General features: G+C 47.0%; 2 long non-coding RNA genes across 3 annotated transcripts; both read right to left on the reverse strand.

Moving 5' to 3' along the window:
- Positions 1-8761: 8761 nt before the first annotated feature.
- On the reverse strand, positions 8762-10542 carry LINC01430 (long intergenic non-protein coding RNA 1430). The gene is made up of 3 exons (NR_109893.1): positions 10522-10542; positions 9945-10075; positions 8762-9039 (listed from the first exon to the last, which is right to left on the reverse strand). It is a non-coding gene; the product is annotated as a long intergenic non-protein coding RNA 1430 (long non-coding RNA).
- A 1426-nt stretch (positions 10543-11968) lies between these two features.
- LINC01620 (long intergenic non-protein coding RNA 1620) lies at positions 11969-25329 on the reverse strand. 2 transcript variants are annotated; one of them, NR_132343.1, is made up of 3 exons: positions 25150-25329; positions 22209-22267; positions 11969-12158 (listed from the first exon to the last, which is right to left on the reverse strand). It is a non-coding gene; the product is annotated as a long intergenic non-protein coding RNA 1620 (long non-coding RNA). The 2 variants fall into 2 exon arrangements; NR_132342.1 differs by lacking the exon at positions 11969-12158 and having other exon boundaries at positions 21748-22267.

Genomic DNA, 26487 nt, shown 5'->3' on the forward strand with positions numbered 1-26487 from the left:
TCTCCTGCCTCAGCCTCCCAAGTAGCTGGGATTACAGGCATGCACCACCACGCCCAGCTAATTTTGTATTTTTAATGGAGATGGGGTTTCACCGTGTTGGCCAGGCTGGTCTCGAACTCTTGACCTCAGGTAATCTGCCCACCTCGGACTCCCAAAGTGCTGGGATTACAGGCGTGAGCCACTGTGCCCAGCTGACAAATGGGCAGTGTTTTAAGCATCTGCATTTGTGGCAATTTGTTATGCAGCAATAGAAAATGAATACAGGTGGTGGTGGTGAGAGGCGGTCAGAGTGGAGTGTTCTGGAAGTAGAACAGCCAAGAACTTACTAAGGTATGTGAAGGAAAGTAACTGTGGCCAGGTGGTGCTGTCTGTTGACAGAGGAAGACTGGAGGAGCTGCAAATTTGGGTTAGAAAATAAGAGCTTGGTTTTGGATGTGCTGTTTGAGATCCCAATTAAACATCCAGGGACTTGTTGGATATATGAGTCTAGAGCTTGGGGAAAAGTTGGGGCTAGAGATAAAGAGTCTAAGTCATAAGCATAGATGAGAAGTTTAATAATCAACTGGGCTGAGCATGGTGCTCACTCCTGTAATCCCAGAGCTTTGGGAGGCGAAAAAGGGAGAATCCCTTGAGGCCAGGAGTTCGAGACCAGCATCGGCAACACAGCAAAACCCCCGTCTCTACAAAAAATTAAAAAAAAAAAAAAAGGTAGGTGTGCTGGCACATGCCTGTAGTCCCAGCTCCTCTGGAGGCTGAGGCAGGAGAATTGTTTAAGCCCAAAAGTTTGAGGTTGCAGTGAGCCATGATCAAACCACTGCACTTTAGCCTAGATGATAGAGCAAGACCCTGTCTCTATTGAAGAAAAAAAAGTCAATAGGAAGATTGCTCAGCAATAAAAAGAAGAGAACTACTGATACAAACAACATGGGCCCAGTCGTGGTGGCTCTATTCCTAGCACTTCGGGAGGCGGAGGAGGGGGTGGATCATTTGAGGTCAAGAGGTCAAGACCAGCCTGGCCAACATGGTGAAACCCCATCTCTATTAAAAACACAAAAATAAGCTGGGTGTGGTGGCACATGCCTGTAATCCCAGCTACTCAGGAGGCTGAAGCAGAAGAATTGCTTGAACCCTGGAGGCGGAGGTTGCAGTGAGCTAAGATCGAGCCACCGCACTCCAGGCTAGGCGACAGAGGGAGACTTAGTCTCAAAAAAGAAAAAAAAGAAAACCATGGAACTCAAACTCATAACACTAGGTGAAAGAAGCCAGGCTCAGAAGACTACATACTATATGATTCCATCTCTGTGATGTTCTGGAGAAGGCAAAACCATAGACACAGGTATGTGGCTGCCAGGGGCAAGGGCTGGGGTAGGGGTTTGAATACCAAGGGACACAGGGGAGGGGGTTTGGAGTGATGGGAATGCTCTGAGAAAATCTTGATTGTGATGGTGGTGACATGACTGCATACATGTGCCAAAACGTGCAAAAGCATACACTAAAAAGGGCAAATCTTAGTCTATGGAAATTATACCTTAATTTGGCCAGGTGCGGTGGCACACGCCTGTAATCCTAGCACTTTGGGAGGCCAAGGCAGGCGGATCACCTGAGGTCAGGAGTTTGAGACCAGCCTAGCCAATATGGCAAAAGCCCATCTCTACTAAAAATACAAAAATTAGCTGGGCATGGTGGCGCACACCTGTAATCCCAGCTATTCGGGAAGCTGAGGAAGGAGAATCGCTTGAACCCGGGAGGTGGAGAGGTTGCAGTAAGCCGAGATGGCACCACTACACTTCAGCCTGTGCAACAGGAGTGAGACTCCATCTCAAAAAAAAAAAGAAAGAAAATTATACCTTAATTTAACAAATGAAAGAAATGAAAAGCCAATAGTTGCTTGGGCTCATTGAAGAGTGAAGAGAGGAAACAGAAAATAGGTGAGGACTTCACTCTAGGTTGCACCACCATGGAGGTTGGAGAGAGGGAAAGGGAAAGCTGCAAAGAACAAGTGAGGTGAATAGAGGCCGGGCATGGTGGCTCACGCCCGTAATCCCAGCACTTTGGAAGGCTGAGGTGGGAGGATTGCTTGGAGCAATCCTCAGGTCCCTAGGAGTTCAAGACCCACCAGGGCAACTTAGTGAGACCCCCCGATCTCTGCAAATATAAAAAAACTTAACCAGGCGTGGTGGTGTGTGCCTGTAGCCCCAGCTACTTGGGAGGCTGAGGCAGGAAGATTGCTTGAATCCAGGAGTTCGAGGCTGCAGTGACCGTGACCGTAATTGTGTCACTGCACTCCAGCCTGGGAAACAGAGTGAGACCCTGTTGTAAAAAATAAAAACAAAAAAGATGAATATAGTTGGTGAACGAAAGGGATTCAAGCAAATTTGTTGCAGACCTACTAGGTGCTAAGTGTGCTGACATACTGGTCTTACCCACTCACCTTACTGAGATTGTTGGGGAGGTGAAATGGACTAGCCCTGCTATACGGATGAGAGGAAAGTGGTTTGCCCTGGGTCCACACACAGCATAATAGTGGTGAAGTGAGAATATCCATGCTGGTGTGTCCTGCACACTCTTCCCTTTGTATCAAATGAGTGGAAGAATGAATGAGTGAATATCACTGCAGGTGCTGAGGTTTCACTAGCAGATTCCAGCCAAGGATCTGAGAACGTGATATTTTTAGCGAAGTTGGGGCCATAAAACTTGTTCCATTTCCCAACTTGTGCAACGCCCAGCCCCTCCCCCTGTGGCTCTGAGATTGCTCCCCGGCCTTGGGAAGGGCTCCCCAGGCTTATCTAGGGGGGAGAGTGAAACTGTAAAAGCCTTTATGGCTTTGAGATCACGTCTGCAAGGGGCAGCGATTGTCGTTATAAACTTGAGCTGGCCCTGCAAGGGAGGGCAATAGCCTGGGCTGAGAGGAGTCAGGGGAGAGTTGAGCAATGCCAAGGGAGCGGCCGTGCTGAGCCGAGCATTCTGGGGCCTGTGGTCAGGGACCATCATTCATTTACCTCATTTCATCCTCACATAAAACCCTGTGAGTTTTTTTCTTTTTGAGACAGATCTTGCTTTGTCACCCAGGTTGGGGTGCAGTGGCTCAATCATGGCCCATGGCAACCTCGATCCCCTGGGCTCAAGTGATCCTCCTGCCTCACCCTCCTAAGTAGCTGAGACAACAGACACATGCCACCATGCTTGGCAAATTTTTAAATTTTTTGGAGACTTAGGGTCTCACTATGTTGCCCAGGCTGATCTCAAACTCCTGGGTTCAACTTGTCCCCCCACTTCAGCTTGCAAAGTGCTGGGACTGCAGGTGTGAGCCACTGCGTCTAGCCTTATTGCAATGTTTTTAAACATTCTATGACATGCCCTTTTTCACATTATGGTATCTCTGAAATCAGGATGCGTCTTTAAATCAATGGCGTCCCACAATTGCTAAGGGTTTGATCAGGTGGTAGCCCTGACCTAGTTGGTTCTGGTCATTATTTCCAGTGGCCTAACTGGACAACTGCACCCCCTTTGTATTTCATCAAAAATGACTTAAGGACCATTTGAGGAAGGGACCAGAGTCCTGCTTGTTTCCCAAAACCTTCCATTAACACCTTCTGATAAGATCAAGAAAGCACCTGGGGCAAAACCTGCAGAATAGGAGGAAGTGGGTTGGGAGGAAATCCAGGAGACAATAGTGGAGTGTTTTTTCAAGAAATGCTGCATGGGCCGGGTATGGTGGCTCACGCCTGTAATCCCAGTACTTTGGGAGGCCAAGGCGGGTGGATCACGAGGTCAGGAGATTGAGACCATCCTGGCTAACACGGTGAAACCTCATCTCTACTAAAAATACAAAAAATTATCCGAGCATGGTGGCAGGCGCCTGTAGTCCCAGCTACTCGGGAGGCTGAGGCAGGAGAATGGTGTGAACCCCGGAGGCAGAGCTTGCAGTGAGCCGAGATCCCACCACTGCACTCCAGCCTGGGAAACAGAGTGAGACTCCGTCTCAAAAAAAAAAAAAGAAAAAAAAAAAAGAAGAAATGCTGTAGGAACAAAGCATTAATGGGATGGAAGTTGATATTGCATGGAAAAATATGGACAATGAAGATTCTGGGCAGAAAAGTGACCTCAGTGGGCTGGATGCTGACTGTGAGATTTTGAAACTCCTTACCTAATCTATCTTACCCAGATTTTCCTTTTTATGTGTGCACAAGGGTGATATATGATTTTTTATTTTCTTGAGACAGAATCTTGCCCTGTCGCCCAGGCTGGAGTGTAATAGTGTGATCTCAGCTCACTGCAACCTCCACCTTCCCGGTTCAAGCAATTCTTCTGCCTCAGCCTCCCGAGTAGCTGGAACTACAAGCGCGCACCACCACACCTGGCTAATTTTTGTATTTTTAATGAAGATGGGGTTTCACCATGTTGACCAGGCTGGTCTCGAACTCTTGACCTGAAGTGATCTGCCCACCTCGGCCTCCCAAAGTGCTGGAATTACAGGTATGAGCCACCATGCCTGGCAATTTTTTTTTTTTAGATGGAGTTCCACTCTGTCGCCCAGGCTGGAGTGCAGTGGCAAGATCTTGGCTCACTGCAGCCTCCACCTCCCAGGTTCCAGCGATTCTCCTGCCTCAGCCTCCCGAGTAGCTGGGATAAAAGGTGCCCGCCACCACACCCGGCTAAGTTTTGTATTTTCAGTAGAGATGGGTTTTCACCATGTTGGCCAGGCTGGTCTCAAACTCCTGACCTCCTCCCGCCTCGGTCTCCAAAAGTGCTGGGAGTTTTACAGGTGTAAGCTGCAGTGCCCTGCCAATATATAATTTTAAAAACTATGTCTAAGTCTCAAAGAGCCTTTTAATAAATAGAAAATAAAAATTCTAAGTGATAAGGAGGCATTGTCACAATTAATTGGCAGTGTCTTTTCTAAGTGGTACATAAAATGCTAGTGCTGCTTACAGCAGAAGCATCTCCAGTCAGGTTATCTCATTTCACAGATGAGAAAACTGAGGACACAGAGGCCACAGGGCAAATCAGTGATGGTGCCAGGGCTCTCTCTGACAACAGATACTGTGCTCTTCCTGACACCTGAGGATGACTTGGATGTGGATTAGCCCCCTGGCTCTTCCTCCCTCAAAGGTCTTGGTCCCAGCCAGACAACTCCAACTCTGCCATCCCAAGGGCCTCTGGGAGGCAGTAAGTTCTCCTATTGTTCAAAACTCAGGCCAGCATGGTGGCTCACACCTGTAATCCCAGCATTCTGGGAGGCCGAGGTGAGCAAATCACCTGAGGTCAGGAGTTCAAGACCAGCCTGGCCAACATGATGATACCCTGTCTCTACTAAAAATGTAAAAATTACCCAGGCATGGGGTGGTGGGCACCTGTAATCCCAGCTACTCCGGAGGCTAAGGCAGGAGGATCACTTGAACCGGAGGCTAAGGCAGAGGTTGCAGTGAGCCAAGATCACGCCACTGCACTACAGCCTGGGAGACAGAGCAAGACTCCATCTCAAGAAAAAAAAACCAAAAAACTCTAGCTGAGGAGGGTTAGCCGGAAGCCTTCTTCCCAATGTACCAACCACCCCTACTTCCCACTGCTCACCTCAGCAACCCCAGTCTGGCCAAGTCCATCCCAACCCATGCTGCCACACGCCCTTCATGCTCTTCCTAGGACATTTAATCACCTGGTCTTGGGCCAGGCAGACTGGACTCTCCCTTCATTTTACAGACAAGGAAACTGAGACACAGAGAGGCTGCTGGACTGTTGCAGGCAAGTCAGGGAAGGGCACGGTCTGGAACCCAGGGCTCAAAATGCAGTGTTCTTTCCAACTTCACAGATTTCTTAGATCCAGAAGAGGCAGGCTGGCAAGGGACAGCAAGGGACTCAGAGTGAGTCAAAAGAAAGGACTTCCAGATCAGAAGGATTGGTAAGACCTGAACATGTAATTGTGGGATGATGCCAAAGGTCTTCACCTGACTCTTGTCAACACTAACAGGTTCCGGGACAGCTGCACTCTAGGGGGCCAGTAGAGGCACCATCTTGCTCAAAGAATGGGGCCAAACTACACCAGGCATCTCTACCATCCCCATCAGATCCTACCTCTCTCTGCTTAAAACCCTCCAATGGCTTCCCATCATTCTTGGAACAATTTTAAATTCTTCACCAGGGCCCCAAGGTCCTACAGAACCTGGTTCCTGATCACGCCTATGAGATCATCTCCCCATGGTCACTCCATTCCAGCCCCCTTGGGCTCCTCCCTGTTCCTCAACACACTAAAGCTGTTCCCATTTCACAGCCTTTACCCTAATGTTCCCTTTATCTGGAACATTCTGTCCTCAGCTCTTCTCATGGCCACTTCCTTCTAAACATTCAGGTCCCTACTCAAACGTTGCCTCTTGGAGAGGCCTTCCCTGATCACTTGGCTAAATACACGAGGCTTTGCAGGATATACAGTCCCTGCTGCAACTACTTAAGTCTGCTCTTACAGCGTAAAACAGCCATAAGCAATATGTAAGTGAATGGGTGTGGCTGAGTTCAATGAACTTTATTTACAAAAGTAGGCAGTAGGCTGGATTTGGCCTATGAATGTAGTTTGCTTACTCCAGCTCTAACTAATTGTCTTGTTTGATTGTCTTCCTCTATCCTTCCCTCTCTAGACTGTTAACTCCATAAGAGCAGAGACTCTAGTCTCATTCAATGCTGCTGTGGTAGCCAGCCTCCAAGATGTCCCCCAGTGATCCCCATTTCCTGGTATTCCCACCATTATTTACTCCCCTCCCAAACTGAGTAGCGTTGTCTGTGTAATCACTAGGATATTGTGAAAAAGATGGAGTGTGACTTTTGAGGCTAGATGATAAGAGGCATTGTGGATTTCATCTTGCCACCTTGAATCCCTTGCTCTGGGGATGCCAGCAGCCATGCTGTAAGGACACTCAAGCAATCCTATGGCAAGGTCCACATGGGAGGAATTGAGGCCTCCTGCCAACTGCCAGCCATGCAAGTGAGCCAAATTGAAAGTGGATTCTCAAGCCCCAGTCAAGCTTTCAGGGGATCACTGTCCCAGCTGGTATTTTGACTACAACCTCATGAGAGATCTAAGCCAGAACCATCCAGCCAAGCCATTTCTGAAGTCCTACCACACAGAAACTATGATATAATACATGTTTGTTGTTTTAAAATTAAGGTAATTAGTAATTAGTTATGCAGACATAGATGACTCACATAGTTGCCTAGCACAGTGTCTGGTCACAGAATAAATAGGCTAATTAATATTGGTTAATAAATAAGTGCTTAATAAATATAGAAGGACACATTATAAAAATAAATGTTTGGGGCCGCTGCGGTGAGTGCATTCTCACTCAATAGGCGCCAACTAAACTTTTATTAAAATAAAATAAATGTTTGAAAGACAAATGTATTATAGTTTTTATATAAATAAATGTAAAAATATACATTAAATAATATAGAAGGGCACAATTAAAATTTTCCTAATCCACTGATAGTCCTTGGACAAGATGCCTATATAAGAATTCTTTCAACCTTGAGATCCTAAGATTCGGAGATTCTCAGTTTCTGTGTATAATTAATGCTAAGTCTAGGATTATATAATTCTGAGACTTTAGGCTTCTGTTTCACCAAGTCCATGGCTCTAAAAGCTTGTGATTCTAACATCTTATGATTCATTTATCAACATATATCTTGGCTGAACAACTCTTCTCTGCCAGGCACAGTGCTGGGTGCTAGGGATTCAGTAGAGAAAAGATGATCCCGATATCTGCCCTCCTGTGGCTCATGAGTGGATGGGGACACAGGCAAACACACGGGCACACATGATGTAGTGATCTCTGTCACATGGTAAGCACAGCAGCTGGGGTGGGGACTGTGGTAAATGAAGGAACACCAACCCAGATATTCAGGAGGGATGTGAGCAGAAACTGTCCTCAGAGCAAACAGGAAGAGAGAGGACTTCAACCAGAGAAGGAGGTGGTGTTGTAGACTGTGTTCCAGGTAGCGGGAACAGCCAGTGCAAAGGTCCAGGGGTCAGGGGAGAGAGCCAGCATCCAGCACATCTGGTGAAGCAAAACAAGTTCTGTATGGGTTGGTATAGAGTTGGGGGTGGGGGGCGGTAGAAGGCAGAGTGGCCAGACTGTGGCCAGATGACTGAGAACCTAGTAAACCATGTCAAGGAGTTTGAACTTTATCCTGAGGGCAAAGGGGAGCCAGGGAAGGGTTTTAAGGGGCAGCAGAGTGGCACAATCTGCTTGGTAGTTTGGAAAGATGCCTCTGGCTCCTGTGTACGGGTTTGGAAGGAGGAGAGACAAGAGACAAGTCTGGAACAAGATCCCAGGTGAGAGAAGAGGCCTGAGTGAATGGGAGGTGGGCCCCAGAGAGACATTTCATTTACAGTGTGGGGAATGGACAGGGAGTTGGTGGCAGTGTGGGTTATACTGGTAACCTAGGAGCCCAGGACTCCTAGATTTTATGATTCTAAAATTCTTGGCCAGGCACAGTGGCTCATGCCTGTAATCCCAGTACTTTGCGAGGCCAAGGTGGGCAGATCACTTGAGGTCAGGAGTTTGAGACCAGCCTGGCCAACATTGTGAAACCCCGTCTCCACCAAAAACACAAAACAATTAGCCGGGCCTGGTAGTACATGCCTGTGATCCCTGCGACTCGGGAGGCTGAGGCAGGAGGATCCCTTGAACCCAGGAGGTGGAAGTTGCCCTGAGCCGAGATCGCGCCACTGCACTCCAGCCTGGTTGACAGATTGAGACTCCTTCTCAAAAAATAAAATAAAGTAAAATTCTCTGATTCTGTGTTCAACACTCCATCATTCTTCAACACAAAATGTTCAATGATATCACCATATGTGTAGGATGCCCAACCTTACCGCCCTCCATCCCTCCTTTCTGAGCTTCAGTTTTCCTTGTTTACAAAGTGAGGATCATTAACACTGTCCTTGCAAAGCAGCCGTGGGAGTGGGAGACGGTGTGTACTCAGCATCTGCACAGAAATGTGGTCCATCATGGCAGGCGTGTTTGTCTGGAAGTGCTCAACACACAGGCACTGTCAGGAAAGAGCCGGGTGTTGAGAGAACAAGACATCAGCAGGGAAGAGCAGGGCAGGCAAGGAAGAGCCTGGTCCTTGTCTGCTCCTGGAGACCTGGGCTGCTCTGGCCTCCCGGCTTCTGCCTGGGCATCTGATACCCAGATTTGGTTGTTTGCTTCCGGGTACCGACAAGTTTACATGTTGTTTGTGGAATTCCCCATTTCTGCAGCTGGCCAGAAACTCCCCTTTCCTGGTCTTAAACTCCCCCAAGGGCTACAGACACCAGCTGGGGGTAGCCAGGCAAGATCTGGTCTTCCCTGGACTGATCTAAGCCAGATCAAGTCCCAACCTGCTCACACTCTAGCGCCCCCTCTAGGTCACACTATAGGCATTCCCTTCTTAGACAACTAACTGTCCATTGGCTCCAGCAAGAGCAAGTCTTTGGAGACAGAACCCTCACTCCTCTCCCCAAAACACATGGTCTCCTGAACCACACCCAAGGTTTATGTGTCTCCTGCATTCTAATTTGCTTCTCACCAATGGTTCAGTTTTAATTCAGTCCAATCCACAAAACATCCATTGAAGCCGGGCATGGTGGCTCACACCTGTAATCCCAGCACTTTGGGAGGCCGAGACAGGTGGATCACTTGAGGCCAGGAGTTTAAGACCAGCCTGGCCAACATGGTCAAACCCCATCTCTACTAAAAACACAAAAATTAGCAGGGCGTAGTGGCGGGTGCCTGTAATCCCAGCTATTCGGGAGGCTGCAGTGGGAGAATCGCTTGAACCCGGGAGACAGAGGTTGCAGTGAGCTGAGATAGCTACACTGCACTCCAGCCTGGGTGACAGAACAAGACTCCACCTCAAAAAATAAAATAAAATAAAATAAAATAAATTGAACAACATAACTGTGACAGGCTTACCCGTTGCTTGGAGAAAGAGATGGGAGGCCAGCAGTGGTGGGCCTGAAGCTGCCAGTGCTTAGTGGATCAGGGTTGGGCTTAGGGTGTGAGGCCAGAGAGCTCAGTTCATTTCTTTGCACACAGTAGGGGCTCTGTAAACACCCGTGAAATTAAATCAAATTAGGAGTTTAAGTGACACAAGCTAGCATGTGCACCAACTATTTCCGGAAGGCGATGAGAGACCGGAGAGTGAGATGGCTTTCGGGGTGGGTGTTGGGGGGCTGGGTAGCTGGGGTCGGGGTGGGAGGAAGACCTACTTCTCATTTTATGCCCTTTTGTACCTTTTGAAATGTTTTACTTTCACCACATGCACACAGAGCAGAATCAATCAAACAAACAATCACAATTAAATAAACAATGCAGGGAGCCAGGCTGTCTCAGAGCTCCATGGCTTCATGCCTGCTCTTCCTGCTGGTGAGATACTGTTTCCCAGCTTTCTCCAACTGGGGAAGTACACGTCCTCCAAGAAGTACACAAATGTCCTGTCTTCTGGGGCCTGTTCCTGCCTCCCTGTGATGGTTCTTCTCTGCTTACCCACCTCATCCACACACGAGTGGTCCAATCTCCAACCCTGTCTGTCCTGCTCTGTGGCCTGGAGGCACCTGTGCCTTCTGACATCACAATACATTCAGCCAAGGGGAGGAATCGGCAGAGATAAAAGGGCAGGATGAGGGAGAACTGGGCATGTTTATGCCACCCCCAGCTCCCTCCCTGTTTTGCCTTAATTTTGGCAGTGGCTGAATTTCTCCATGGTCTTAACTCCTGTCTTAGCCTCACTTATATGGCTCCAGCTATCTCTGGGTCAAGTAACACCATTCTCTCTCTCACCTCTTTGGCCTTGGGGTGCTAACAGCTCCCCACTGTTGCCAGTCCCTGCATGCCTCACCTCTGCAAACACTTCCTTCATTAAGTTTGCTTCAGTTAAGCCAGTGGTTCACAATCTGGGGTGACTTTGCCCCCAGGGGACATTCGGTGATGTCTGGAGACACTTTAGGTTGTCATGACTGGTAGAGAAGATGCTACTGGCAGAGGCAACAGATAGTGCTAACCATCCTACTCCGCACAGGACATCCCCCACAACAGAATTAGCCAGCCCCAAATATCAATAGCACGGAGACTTTGGGTCTCCCACTGCTCCCTGCCTGAAGCCCGACAGTTCATGGCTGGGATTCTGGACTCCTGCTGGCCTCTCTGCTTTGTGGTGTGATCTGCCAGTTTCCACACCTGCTGTTGATCTCCTCTTAGTGACACAGAGATGAAAAGACCCCATCCTTGCCCTCAAGCTGGCCATAGTGCAGTGGAGAGAGACCCTGGTGAGCGGGGTTCCCCAGCAGCCTCGAGTCCTTGAGGGCAAAGTCTCTTTGTCAGTCACCACGTAGCCCCAGTAGTAGGAGAGCAGCAGACATTTGCCAATTGAAACAAAAGGTCCTTTAAAAATATCTTAAAACAAGGCCAGGCTCAGTGGCTCACGCCTGTAATCCCAGCATTTTGGGAGGCCAAGGTGGGTGGATCACCTGAGGTCAGGAGTTTGAAACCAGACTGGCCAACATGGTGAAACCCTGTCTCTACTAAAAATACCAAAAAAAAAAAAAATTATCTGGGCATGGTGGTGAGCGCCTGTAATCCCAAGCCACTACTCGGGAGGCTGAGGCAGGGAGAACTGCTTGAATCTGGGAGGTGGAGGTTGCAGTGGGCTGAGATTGCGCCACTGCACTCCAACCTGGGTGACAGAGCAAGACTCTGTCCCCCCCACCCCCCCCAAAAAAAAGTCTTAAAACAGACAGAAGGTTAGGCTCAATGGCTAAACAAGACCCAGGAAACCCTGGTGAGTTTCCCTGTAACAAAAGTTCCAAGGAAACCACAATCAGGCAAAGATGTACCAAATGAATGAATTCTAGTCCCAGGGGTATGGGTGGGTGAGTGGGACAGAAGACAACTATGAGCATCCCGTCTCTAAAATGGTTATAATGGTAGAACCCACCTCCTAAGATTGAATGAGATTAAATTTAATGAAAATCACTTACAGTGTTACCTAGGGCATAGTGAGCACCAGATAAACAGTATCCACCAGCTACCTGGAGGAAATGATGGGGCAGCAGCTTCAAGACGGGTCTAGGGAAGAGCTCTGCCGCTAATATTGGACTGGTTTGCACCCCTGGGCCTCACTTTCCCAATCTGTAACGTGAGGAAAATATAAGCAAGATTAGTGTTTTGCAGAAATTATATCATAGGGATGCTTGAGAGGGGTTCTACAATACGTAGTGCAAATATCATTTTCAACATCAAACCTGTAATTTAATACAAGTAAAAGGTCAGTCTGTTAAACTGGAGGGAAATATTACCATCAGGCAGGGCTAGGGTGACCAACTCATCCTCTTTTGCCCAGGACTTGTCTAGTTTTAGCTCTGAAAGTCCTGTGTCCTGAAACTCTCCCTCAGTCTCAGCGGATTAGGATGGCTGGTGACCCCAGCAGGTCAAATGATCAGCTTGCCCATACTAATTTTAAAGATAATAAATAGCTAGCTGCCCGACACAGTGGCTCACGCCTGTAATCCCAGCACTTAGGGAGGCTGGCTCGGGCAAATCACTTGAGGTCAGGAGTATGAGACCAGCCTGGCCAACATGGCGAAACCCCGTCTCTACTAAAAACACAAAAATTAGCTGGGAGTGGTGGCAGATGCCTGTAATTCTACCTACTTGGGAGGCTGAGGCAGGAGAATCGCTTCAACCCAGCGGGCAGAGGTTGCAGTGAGCCAAGATCGTGCCACTGCACTCCAGCCTGGGCAACAGAGCGAGACTCCATCTCAAAATAAATAAATAAATAAACAAACAATATATGTTGAATACTTATTTTGTGCCAGGCACTGACTTCACAAGTATTAGCTCATTTAATCTTTATAAGAACCCAGCAAGGTAAATATTAACATCTCTCTTTATACAATCGCACAGAAAGGTTCTGTAATTGCCTGAGTTCACACAACTCCTGAGTAGTAAAGCCAGGATTTGATTCCAGGCCATCTGGGTCCAGAGTTGCCATATTTAATTTGACCTGTGCTATATATTTGAATATATTTTTATTTTTTATTTTTTGAGAGGAAGTCTCGGCTCTGTCACCCAGGCTGGAGTGCCGTGACATGATCTTAGCTCACTGCAACCTCTACCTCCCGGCCTCAAGTGATTCTTTAGCCTCAGCCTCCTCCCAAGTAGCTGAGATTACAAGCATGCACCGCTATGCGCAGCTAATTTTTGTATTTTTAGTAGAGATGGAGTTTCACCATTTTGGCCAGGCTGGTTTCAAACTCCTGACTTCAAGAGATCTGCCCACCTCGGCCTCCCAAAGTGCTGGGATTACAGGCGTGAGCCACCACGCCAGGCAAATATATTTTTAAAACGTCTTTGGAGACAGTAATAATATCAATAATGATGATAATAATAATAATGGAAATATATTTTAAAACATTTTTGAAATAGTAATAATGACAATACATTTTTGAACACTGAAATATGCATCCCAAAATTTAACACTATGGAGGCCACGTATAAACTAACTTGAGCTGCTTGATTAGCCCATTGTTGTGCAGACCTTAGAATAAAGCATTTTTGGCCACCTCTGCTGAATTAAAGCTAGAATGGAAGACTCAAATGTTTACAGGGCCAGGTGGGTGATGTCAGTGAGTGGTTTTAGGGCAACAGAGAGTGGTGGGGACTGTGGCAAACGGGAATAGAATGCATGAGCTGAGAAGATGCAGCCAGGACTCAACTCCAGGCACTTGGAATTGGGGACCAGCAATGGCAGATCCTTCAGGAGGAGACAAACATCCATCTTTATCAGCAACTAATTCAATGAAAACAATACAAAAACACAAGGTGTGTGAAACAAAACGTGCCTGTGGGTCAAACCCAGTTCCTGCTCTCCTTCCACCGCTGCCCTGCCCAAATTGAATGTGTGCTCAGATTATCAGGAAAGCTGTTAAAAACAACAACCACAACAACACTGGCCAGGTGTGGTGGCTCACGCCTGTAATCCCAGCACTTTGGGAGGCCGAGGCGGGCGGATCACGAGGTCAGGAGATCGAGACCATCCCGGCTAAAACGGTGAAACCCCGTCTCTACTAAAAATACAAAAAATTAGCCGGGCGTAGTGGCGGGCGCCTGTAGTCCCAGCTACTTGGGAGGCTGAGGCAGGAGAATGGCGTGAACCAGGGAGGCGGAGCTTGCAGTGAGCCGAGATCCCGCCACTGCACTCCAGCCTGGGCGACAGAGCAAGACTCCGTCTCAAAAAAAAAAATAAAATAAAATAAAACAAAAAACTATTTGAAACTGTGGCATATTCATTCAATGGAACACTATACAGTAACAAGAATAAACTCTAGCTATGAAAAATATGGATGAATCTCACAAACATAAGCCAGACACAAAAGACTACATCCTGTGTTATTCCGTTTCTTTAATGTTTAACAACAGACAAGACTCATCTCTGGTGTCAGGAGTCAGGCTTGTGGTTACCCTGGAGAGGGGTGCTAGTGAGTGATTGGGAGGGGCAAAGGGAAGACTTCTGGGAGCCTGGCCGGGTTCCATTTCTTCATCTGGGTCCCAGTGGCATGGGGGTTCTCTTTGCGATGATTCATTGAGCTGCACACTTGAGTTTGTGCATTTTTTGATGTCTGTTTTTTGGTTTTTGTTTTCTTTTGAGTTGAAATATTTGTCACCCAGGCTGGAGTGCAGTGGCACCCAGGTGGAGTACAGCTCGCTGCAGCCTCCACCTTCTGAGGCTCAGGCAATCCTCCCACCTCAGCCTCCCGAGTAGCTGGGACTACATACAGGCACGTGCCACCATGCCTGGCTAATTTATTATTATTATTTGTAGAGGCAGGGGGTTTTGCTATGTTGCCCAAGCTAGCCTCCAACTCCTGGGCTCTAGTGATCCTCCCGACTCAGCATCCCAAAGTGTTAGGATTACAGGCATTAGCCATCATGCCAAGCCGTATGTGCGTTATACTTCAAAATTTATGTAAAATTTTTTGAAACACATACACAGAAACCATTACCATTTGGAAATATTTCTCTGGACAAAGCAGGATTGTGTTTGGATAGAAGGGAAAACAAATGAGGAAATAATCCATTCCAAGTATGGGAAGCATCTGACGACCCTTTGCTGAATAGGGTGAAAAGAATACAATTGTCAGGGCTGGGCTCACCACTGAACTCCAGCCTGGACAACAGAGCCAGACCCTGTTTCAAAAAAACAAAAAACAAAATGAAAAAACAAAAGTGTCTCCTTGGAGAGGCCTTTCTAGGAAGCAACCTTCCCAGTTACTTCCTCTTAGGGTACTATAACTTCCCCTTAGGAAATGCTGATTACAGTCTGCAATTCCCTTGTTTATTTGGGGTTTTCTTTCTTTTTTCCTTTTTTATTTTTTTTGAGATGGAATCTCGCTCTGTCACCCAGGCTGGAGTGCATGGCAAGATCTCGGCTCAATGCAACCTCTGCCTCCTGGGTTCAAGCTATTCTCCTGCCTCAGCCTCCCAAGTAGCTGGCATTATGAGCACCCACCACCATGCCTGTCTATTTTTTTGTATTTTTAGTAGAGACGGGATTTCACCATGTTGGCCAGGCTGGTCTTGAACTCCTGACCTCGGGTGATCTGCCTGCCTCGGCCTCCCAAAATGCTGGGATTATGGACGTGAGACACTGTGCCCGGCCCTTTTTTTCTTTTTTTAGTTTATTGTCTATCTCCCCTTCATGAAGACAATGATTTTGCCTGTCTTATCCATCACCTGGCACATAGCAGGTGTCACAAAATATTTATTAAATGAGTGAAGAGAAGAAGGGAGGGAGAGAAGGAAGAACAACTGAGTGGATAATTGGGAGTTAACAAGGCAAAGCTGGGGGCAGTTGGAAGCTGTGAAGACCGATGCGACTAGAGATGAGAGACCAGGGGGTGCGGCAGGCAAGATGATGTCCATTTTACAGATGAGGCATCTGAGGCTCAGAGATGGCAAGGGGCATGACCAAGTCATCCAGTGGGACAGGTCCTGGATGAATCCAGTTTCCGACTCAAGAGTCAATAGAACCTCAGTTACTGAGCACTCATCTGTACTAACTGATGAGGTGAGTATTGTTATTCCTTCCTAAGGCACAGCCAGGAACAGTGGTTCATGCCTATTAATCTCAGAATTTTGGGAGGCCGAGATAGGAGGATTGCTTGTGGCCAGGAGTTCAAGACCAGCCTGGGCAACATAGTAAAACCTCCATCTCTACCAAAAAAGATTTTTCGAATTAGCTGGGCTCGGTGATGCCTGCCTGTAGTCCTAGCTGCTCAGGAGGTTGAGGCAAGAGGAACACTTGAGCCCAGGAGCTCAAGGCTGCAGTGAGCTATGATCAGGCCACTGCACTTCAGCCTGGGCAACAGATCAAGACCATGTATCTTATAAAAAAAAACAAAAAACGGTGGGGGGAGCCGGGCGCGGTAGCTCACACCTATAATCCCAGCACTTTGGGAGGCCTAGGCGGGCAGATCACCTGAGGTCAGGAGTTAGAGACCAGCCTGACAAACATGGAGAAACCCCATTTCTACTAAAAATACAAAATTAGCTGGGCATAGTGGTGCATGCCTATAATCCCAGCTACTCAGGAAGCTGAGGCAGGAGAATCGCTTGAACCCGGGAGGCAGAGTTTGCGGTGAGCCGAGATCGCACCATTGCATTCCTGCCTGGGCAACAAGAGTGAAACTCCGTCTCAAAAACAAAACAAGACAAAACAAAACAAAAGGACCTAAGGCACAGAGAGTTTGAGTGACTTGCCTAAGGTCACACAGCTAAGAAGCAGCCAAGCCTCAGGGCTTTTGTCTACTCTGAATGGCTATTCTCCACCACCCACCCCACCTTGCTGCCAACTCTCTGCTCGGACCCCAGCACGGTCTATGAATTCAAACCCTAACCCTTTCTAGAGCTTTGGGCAAAGCCAGGAAATTCCATGAAACCCCTTCAAGGCCTGGGTTCCAGTTCCCCCAACTCCAAACCAAAAGAGAGCAAAACTAGCCCTCCTTGCAAGGTGGCTGTGAGAAAACAGTGATAAAAATTAATTATAGGACTTGTATGTAATAAAAATAATTGCAGGGCTCCTGGCAAACAGCCCAGCTCTAGAGATACGGACTGATGATAGCAGGCATTTATGGCCCTGCGGCCCAGCCTTTCTGAGGCTGGGGTGATAGGAGCCGGGTCACGAGGTGGGGGTGGTCACAGGCAGGAAACTCCCAGCAGCAAGGCCTGGGCCTGTCTCTGATGCAGCCTGCACATTGGTTTCAGGGACGCTTGGAAGGACACTCCCCTAGCCTCGGGGGGTCACCATTAGTTATCCATCTGGTTGGGTCTGATGTTGCTTGCTGTTTGCCTTTCTAAAAACCTACAAACAAGGCCAGGTGTGGTGGCTCACACCTGCAATCCCAGCACTTTGGGAGGCCAAGGTGGGTGGATCGCTTGAGGTCAAGGGTTCAAGACCAGCCTGGCCGACATGGTGAAACCCCATCTCTACTAAAAATACAAAAATTAGCTGGGCATGGTGGCGGGTGCCTGTAATCCCAGCTACTCAGGAGGCTGAGGCAGGAGAATCACTTGAACCCGGGAGGCGGAGGTTGCAGTGAACCAAGATCGTGCCATTGCACTCCAGCCTGGGCCACAGAGTGAGACTCTGTCTCAAAATAAATAAATATAAAAACCTGTAAATAATGAGCACTTTACAGTGACTTCATTCATTCGTTAATTCTCAAGGCCCCAAGGATAGGCAGGGAGCAGATATTGGTGGTGGTGGAGGTGGAGCAAGGCCCAGAGGAGACAGTGGTTCATTCTTCCTCTATCCAATGGATATTTATTAAGGGCCACTCCATGCCAGGTGCCTCGCTGTTGGAAGGTAGTGACAGGGACACCAGGGACTTGCCCAGGATCACAGTGGGTGGGAGAAAGTCAGGGCTGGCCCCTGGGTCCTCAACACCAAGGACAGTAGTCTCATTGCCACAAAAAGAGACCGGAGTGGTTTGTCCCTTTGGAAAAATGACTCCCTCTTAGGATTCTAGCCTTCCCTGCAGGCATTCATAGTTAATTCTTAAAGACATCAAAAACCCATATTAGAACTCCAGTAATTTTTTTAATGAAAACGGAACCTACTTATCACAAAAGCTCAACCAATAAAGAGAAGTACAAATAAGAAAGTTCAAAATGTGGAAATTTTACTACCCAGAGAAAAATGCTCTTAGCAGAGGTAGCAGAGCTAAGTGGTCAAGAGCACAGACTCAGACCAAAGTGCCCAGGGCCACGTGCTGGCTTGCAACCTAACCATGCTAGAGTGTAGCCTCTCTGCTGCCTATTTCTTTACCTGCAAATCTGTATAATGGCAGCACCTGTCACACATAGGGTATTAAATGTTAGGAGCATGAAACAAGCTAACCATTTGTGGAGTGCTTAGCACAGCACTCAACACAGAATAAGTGCTATTTAAAGGGTTGTTCAGTGTATCCCCAGACGGGGCTCCATGCAGACATACCACACCTGCTTATGGTCTTAGGACCTGATTTTATATATGTATATACACATATATATGTATATATACGTATATATATATGTGTGTGTGTGTGTGTGTGTGTATACACACATATATACATATATGTATACACACATTTATACATATATATATACACACATATACACACTAAACAAGATATTCCAGGCACATTGCCATGTCTATAAGCTTCTTTCTATAAGTAAGAATTTGATTTAGGCTGGAGACAGTGGCTCACACCTGTAATCCCAGCACTTTGGGAGGCCAAGGCAGGAGGATCACTTGAGCCCAGGAGTTTGAGACCAGTCTGGGCAACTTAGTGAGACCTCCCTAAGGTGTTGCAATGTGCAGCTGTAGTCCCAACTAATTGGGAGGCTGAGGTGGGAGGATTGCTTGAGCCTTGGGAGGTAGAGGTTGCAGTGAGCCAAGATTGTGCCACTGCGCTGCAGCCTGGGCAACAGAGTGAGACCCTATCTCAAAAAAATAAAAAGAATGTACGTTTCATATCGGTAGAAACTTTCTGGCTGTTTCAGGTCCTAAAAGAGTGCTTGGCACATAATAGATGTGCAAAAAAAAAAATGTTGAATGAATGAATGACTCTAATTTAGTCAATATCCATGACAAAGGGATCTGTTACATACTGGGTGTGTGACTTTGAGCAAGTATCTTCAAGCCTCTGAACTTCAGTCTTCTCCTAGGTTTCATGGGTATGACACAGATAACATGTACTGAGTTAACTCTGTGCTGGGACTAATTTGAAGTGGTTTATATGGAATATCTCCTTTAAACCATACAACAGCATTTGAGGTACTATTATTAGTCCATATTAATGTGGAGTTAGCTGAGGCATAAGGAGATTAAGTAACTTGGCTAAGGTCACAAGTAAGAGGTGGAGCTAAGAGACAAGTCCCCCAGGCCTCTGATACCACAGTGCATTCACTTACCACCACTCTATACTGCTTTTCTAAGATAACCCACCCTTGGCCACCGACAGTAGAAGGAATAAGTACATGGTGGTACATTTGTACAATAGAATACTATACAGCAATTGAGTGGCTCATGGGCTGGGAACCGTGGCTCATGCCTATAATCCCAACACTTTGGAAGGCTGAAGCAGGTGGATTACTTGAGCTCAGGAGTTTGAGACCAGCTTGGGCAATATACCAAGACCCCCATCTCTAAAAAAAAGAAAAAGAAAAAGAATACTATACAGTGATTAAGAAGAGCACATTGATGCCAGGTGCGGTGGCTCATGCCTGTAATCCCAGCACTTTGGGAGGCCAAGACGGGAGGATCATGAGGTCAGGAGTTTGAGACCAGCCTGGCCAACATGGTGAAACCCTGTCTCTACTAAAGATACAAAAAAAAAAAAAAAAAAAATTAGCCAGGCATGGTGGCACGTGCCTGTAATCCCAGCTACTTGGGAGGCTGAGACAGGAGAATCACTTGAACTTGGGAGGCGGAGATTGCAGTGAGCTGAGATCATGTCATTGCACTCCAGCCTGGGTGAAAGGGCAAGACTCCATCTCAAAAAAAAAAAAAATAAAATGACATCCTGAATTTTTATGGCAACCCTAAAGTTTGCATATGTATGATTCCATTTATGTGAAGTTCAGAAATAAGCAAAACGAATAAATGGTAATAGAATCAGGAGCATGGTTTCGTTGGGTGGGAGTAGGAGTGAGTAGAAAGGATATTAGAAAAGCTTTACATCTTGATCTGGATGGAGGTTACCTGTGTGTATACACATGTAACAATTCACCAAGCTGTACACTTAATGTTTTTACCTTTTACAACACTTGTGAATTACAACTCCATAAAAAAATATTTTTAGGCCAGTTGCGGTGGCTCATGTCTGTAATCCCAGTACTTTGGGAGGTCAAAGGCCAGCTTGGGCAACATGGCAAGACCCTGTCTCTACAGAAAAATTAAAAAATCAGCCAGGTATGGTTGTGCATACCCGTAGTCCCAGCTTCTTGGAAGGCTGAGGCAGGAGGATTGCTTGAGCCCAGGAGATCTCGGCTACTGTGAGCCGCAATTGTGCCACTGCACTCCAGCCTGGGCGACAGAGTGAGACCCTGTCTCAAAAAAAATTATATATATATACATATATATATATGTGTATATATATGTATATACGTATATATATATGTATATACGTATATATGTGTATATATATGTATATACGTATATATATAATACACAAATTTTTTAAATCCCACAGAGCGATATGCCCTATTATAAAATCTTTGATAATATTCTCTAACTGATGGGATGTTTGCAAGGTTAAAATGTGATAAAGTTTGTGACTCTCTTGCTACATTTTAGGCTCTCATAGTAAGAACTCAATGTTAAATGTAAACAGCATTGTTAAATGTAACAGCAGCATTCATACAGCATCGTTATTATCATGGCTTTTTGTATTTCTCTCTATTGCTGATAGACTGGAGCGCCCTCGAGTGTTTAATTTGTTATAGTACCTCAGTTATTACAAAGAGCACCCTAAACCCAAGTTTGTAGTCTCAATGCCAAAGGGCAATGCTTTTCTTTTCTTTCACTCCAGTGCCACATAAAAAAGGACCAAAACATGACCTCCTGGGAGCAAAGAAACACCAGGTTGCCTAAGGAGAGGTGAACTGGCCCAGGCTGGAAACAGAGCAGGTCAAATCTCACGCCCTGATCAGTGGTGGGATCACGCCTGTGAATAGCCACTGCAGTCCAAACTGTGAGACTCTGTCTCTTAAAAAAAAAAAAAGTAGCAAAATTCACATCAAATCAATGGGTCCCAAGGCCAACTCAAGCCCTGCCCATGGTCACTCCCTGAAATGTGTCAGAAGGAAGGCAGAAGGGAACACGCAGCTCTACCTCCCTTTGATGCAAGCACATTGCAAATATCATCTCGTTTCACAGGAACTCACATAATATTTGAATGTGGCATCATACTGACTACAAAAATCCTTTCATATTACTAATAGTCACAGCTAGCTTTCAGTGACAGTTTCCTGTGTCCCAGGTACCCTACTAGGAGCTAGATGTCATTGTTAGCTTTGATCTTTAAAATGGCCTGTGAGGCATATATTCTTTTGTAGCCTGCTTTTTTCCCTTCAGCAGTACGCTTTGGGCATCTTTCCATGTCAATAAATAGAGCTGGGTCGGAAGTAACTGATTCAAAGGCTGAGAAACTTAAACAGTCAGCAGCCACTGCCCAGGTGAAGATCAATAATAGTTAACATTTATTGAGTGCTTTATTACACACCAGGCCCTCCACTCATTGTTTAAGGTGAACTCTCTCGCATTTGATCCTTGAGGCAATCCCAAGGTAGCTTCTATTATTATTCAGATGGGGAATCTGAAGCCCAGAGAAGCAAAGGAACGCAGTCAAGGTCAGACAGCTGGTGTTCAATGGCAGAGGTGGGATTCAAACCCAGGTCCCTCTGATTCAGGCGCTGGGCTCTCAGCCAGCACATTTGGAGGACAACATGGAGGAGGATGTAAGGGGAGTCTTCGAAGTGGGAAAAGGATCCACTAGCAAAGGCTGAAGACAGGCAGGAGGGTGGTGTGGGCCCAGGCCACTGTCCTCCATGGAAGTGACAGTAAGGCTTCCTGGAGGTGACACCGTTTGGACTAATTCTATGTCTCCAGACAATAAAGGAGGTCTTTTTATAGCTTACCAGTTCCTGGGCATACGTCCAGTGAGACATACGTGGGTTCAAATCTTCATTGTGCCACTCTAGTTTAAAAAAAAATCAGCATTATCGCCAGACACAGTGGTTCACGTCTATAATTCCAACACTTTGGGAGGCCAAGGCAGGCGAGTCACCTGAGGTCAGGAGTTCGAGACCAGAGTGGCCAACATGGTGAAACCCCATCTCTACTAAAAATACAAAAATTAGCTGGGCGTGGTGATGCACACCTGTAATCCCAGCTACTCGGGAGGCTGAGGCAGGAGAATCATTTGAACCCAGAAGGTGGAGGTTGCAGTGAGCCAAGAACGTGCCTGGGTGACAAAGTGAGACTCAGTCTCAAAAATAAAAATAAAAAATAAACAGCATTGTTGAGATATAATGATGTTCAATAAACTAAACATACTTAAATTGAATAATCTGATGAGTTTCAACATATGTACATACCCAAGGAACCATCACCACAATCAAGATGCCAAGTGTTTCCATCGCTTCCAAAAGCTTCATGCTCGTTTATAAGCCATCCCCCATTCATCCCACCACCCCATTCCCAGGTAACCATCACCAATATAGGTTGCTTTCTTTCACTATAGATGGCTTTACATTTTCTGGGATTTTATAGAAATGAAATCATGCTATATGTACTCTGTCTTAATTTTTTTTTTTTTTTTTTTGAGACAGAGCCTCTCTCTGTTGCCCAGGCTGGAGTGCAGTGGTGAAATCTCGGGTCACTGAAACCTCTGCCCCCCAGGGGTTCAAGCAATTCTCCTGCCTCAGCCTTAGTAGCTGGGATCACAGGCGTGCGCTACCATACCTGGCTAATTTTTTTTTTTTTTGTATTTTTAGTAGTCTCGAACTCCTGGCTTCAGGTGATCCGCCCACCTCAGCCTCTCCAAGTGCTAGGATTACAGGCGTGAGCCGCTGCGCCCCGCAAATATGTACTCTTTCTGTCTGACTTCTCTCATTCAGGCATGAACCACCATGCCTGGCCATTTCGCCATTACTTTTAACGGCAAAAACCGCAATCACTTTTGCACCAACCTAATAGATCTCACAGGTGAAGCACGGTGGCTCACACCTGTAATCCCAACACTTTGGGAGGCTGAGACGAGCAGATCACTTGAGCCCAGGAGTTTGAGACCAGCCTGGGCCACATAGCGAAACCGTGTCTCTACTAAACACCAAAAAATTAGCCAGGCATGGTGGCATGTGCCTGTCTGTAGTCTCAGCTACTCAGGAGGTTGAGGTGGGAGAATCGCTTGAGCCCTAAGGTCGAGCTGCAGTGAGCCGTGATCGCACCACTGCACTCCACTTTGTCTCAAACAAACAACAAAGAAAGATACAGAAGCCATAGTTTCTTCACCCATGCCCCTGGGCATGTCATTGTTTCCCCCAGTTTTTGCCTATTACAAATAAAACTGCTATGAACACTCATGTTCATGTCTTTGAGAGGACAAACGCTTTCATTATGCAGGAATACAATTGCTGGTCACATAAGTGTGTGTTTAACTTTTTAAGAAACTGCAAACTACTTCCCAGTCTGGCCTTTTTAATTATAGTCATTTTAGATGCACTCATTTTTTTTAACCTGTGGATCTAATAGATGGTTTCTTAGACTGTCTGGACCTCAGTGTTTTCATGTGTAAAATGGAGATAATTGGCCGGGTGCAGTGGCTCACGCCTGTAATCCCAGCACTTTAGGAGGCTGAGGCAGGCAGATCATGAGGTCAAGAGATCGAGACCATCCTGGCCAACATGGTGAAACCCCATCTCTACTGAAAGTACAAAAATTAGCTGGGCATGGTGGTGTGCACCTGTAGTCCCAGCTACTCGGGAGGCTGAGGCAGGAGAATCACATGAACCCGGGAGGCGGAGGTTGCAGTGAGTCAAGATCGTGCCACTGTACTCCAGCCTGGCAACAGAGCGAGACTCCATCTCAAAAAAGAAAGGAGATAATTACATCAGTTTTGAAAGGTAGTGAAGACAGAGTGAACTAGCACATAAGCACATATGCAGCACATAGAACAGGGACTGGGACATAGTAGGGGTTCCATAAACGGTGGGTTTTTGTTGTTGTTGTTGTTTTTGAGATGGAGTCTCGTGCAGTGTTGCAATCTCAGCTCACTGCAACCTCCGCCTCCCAGGTTCAAGTGATTCTCCTGCCTCAGCCTCCCAAGTAGCTGGGATTACAGGCACGCACCACCATGCCTGGCTAATTTTTGTATTTTTAGTGGAGACAAGGTTTCACCATGTTAGCCAGGCTGGTCTCGAACTCCTGACGTCAGGTGATCCACCTGCTTCGGCCTCCCAAAGTGCTGGATTACAGGTGTGAGCCACCAGCCTGGCCAAGGGTGATTATTTTATTACAATTGAACCACAGCCATCCTATGATCTGGCCACTTACCCCAGGATACAGCATCCTCAACTAGATGGCAAAAAGCCACTTCCTTTGCACTTAGTCAGTGCTGTTAGCCTGGAGGAATAACAATGGCACCATCGATTGTGCCAGGCACTATCCTAGGTGCTTTTGTATGTTGAATCCTTGCAAAGCCCTGTGAGGTGGGTCAGTGTTTGCCTTCTGTATGACAGATGAGAAAACTGGGATGTAGTAACTAGTCATTGGCCAAGGTCACACAGCAGTGAAGTAATGGTGCTGTGATTTGAATCTATGTAGTTTGATTTAGGATCTAGAAGTTTCGCTAATGGATTACCTAGCTCAGAACTAGTGAAAGAGCCCAGTCACAAAAGCACCTCCTGATGCCCAAAATCATTTTCAGCTCCTCAGACACAGAGCCTGAAGCAAAGATTAGGTACTGTGTGATTTATAAAGGAAAGAACCTGTAAGGGATGAAGGGAAGCAAGACAGGGAGGGAAACAAGAAAAGATGTGGTCTCAGGTAAAGTCTAGCAAAAAGGCTGGCTTTGTGTACCTCTGTACGAGTCAGCTGTTGGCTGCCAGCCACCCTGTGGGTGAGGGGAATAAACTCCAGGGTGAGGTGATTCCTGAGATGGCAGTTCTCCGTAGAAATGGAAATAGTAAGCCATTCGAAGCCAACAACTGAAGCATCTGGGGGGATGGTGTTGGTGTGCTAGCCCATGAAGGGCTCAAGAGGTTCCCAGAGGCACACTTCTTGCCTGCCTAATGAATCAAGTTCTAGAACATTCTGGAACATTCACTTCCTAGACTTGTTTTGGAGAATCCTCCTTCTCACTGAGACCAGCATGTTGAACAAACCCAGCCTGTGACATAATCAAAGCATACCTTAATTTGTATCTCCCAGTGTCCTTTCTAAGATGTATTTGGTAGAGAAACATTTTCCCTGCCACTGGGTGAAATCTCCCCATTATTCTTCTGCTTGTTCTGAGGAAACAGGCAATTCTATGGTCACTTTAGGTCACAAACACAACCTCAATTTAGAAATGAGAATGTCCAGTCAAGCTTCTAACCAAAATTCCCAATTTGATTTGGGTTTAAACCTTCTCCCCTCACCCTCAGGCCTGCTTCAGGGAGGTGGTGTGGGTGACTCCTTCTCTATCTCTCCTTCCCTCACCCACCCGTGGGGTACAGTGGGGGGTGTTGGAGATGGCAAGGGGAGAGGAAGGGTCTCCCTTGAGCTGCCACCATCCTGGCTGGCTTCAAGCTGCCCCTTTCTGTCGTGGGCTCCATGGAGATGGCCACTGTCACAGGGGCCCTCTCACTCTTAACCTTGGGGGATGCATCTCTCCTCATAGGGGTCCCTTGCAAGTCCTTCGTCAGCCCTTAGGAACCCAACATCCAACTCAAGCTTCTTGCTGCTGCCACACCTCTGCCCCTCCAGGAGGCTCTAGGGGACAGGACCCAAGAGGACCCCTTGTAGGTGCTCTCTGCCAACACTGGCCCATGGGAAACACTCCAGCCAGCAGCCTGTACTCCGAAAGTCCTGGGAATGTGGCTTACCTTAGCACGCCCACACTGGCTCCTTCACCAGTTCAGCCAGGCAGCCCGTTTCTCTCAGCCTCTAGATGTCCATGCCCACATGAGACCACTGGGCCCCCTCATAATGGCCACACATTATTCTCTACATATAGTGGCCCCTCTCATGGAAGAGCCCCCATGACCCCATTCCACCCTTCCAGGGAGATGGTCACCAAAGAACTCTTTGCTTCCTCTTCCCATCCTAGGAGAATGTGGTGGGTATAGGGGTAATAGTAAATGTGGGGGTTTTGGGTAGCCATGGCCAAATTTTAGCAGCTGTGGGTTTGGACTGGGCTCTTTTTTGTTGTTGTTG

The sequence above is a fragment of the Homo sapiens genome, chromosome 20 (genome assembly GCF_000001405.40).
Source record: "Homo sapiens chromosome 20, GRCh38.p14 Primary Assembly".
NCBI lineage: Eukaryota > Metazoa > Chordata > Mammalia > Primates > Hominidae > Homo > Homo sapiens.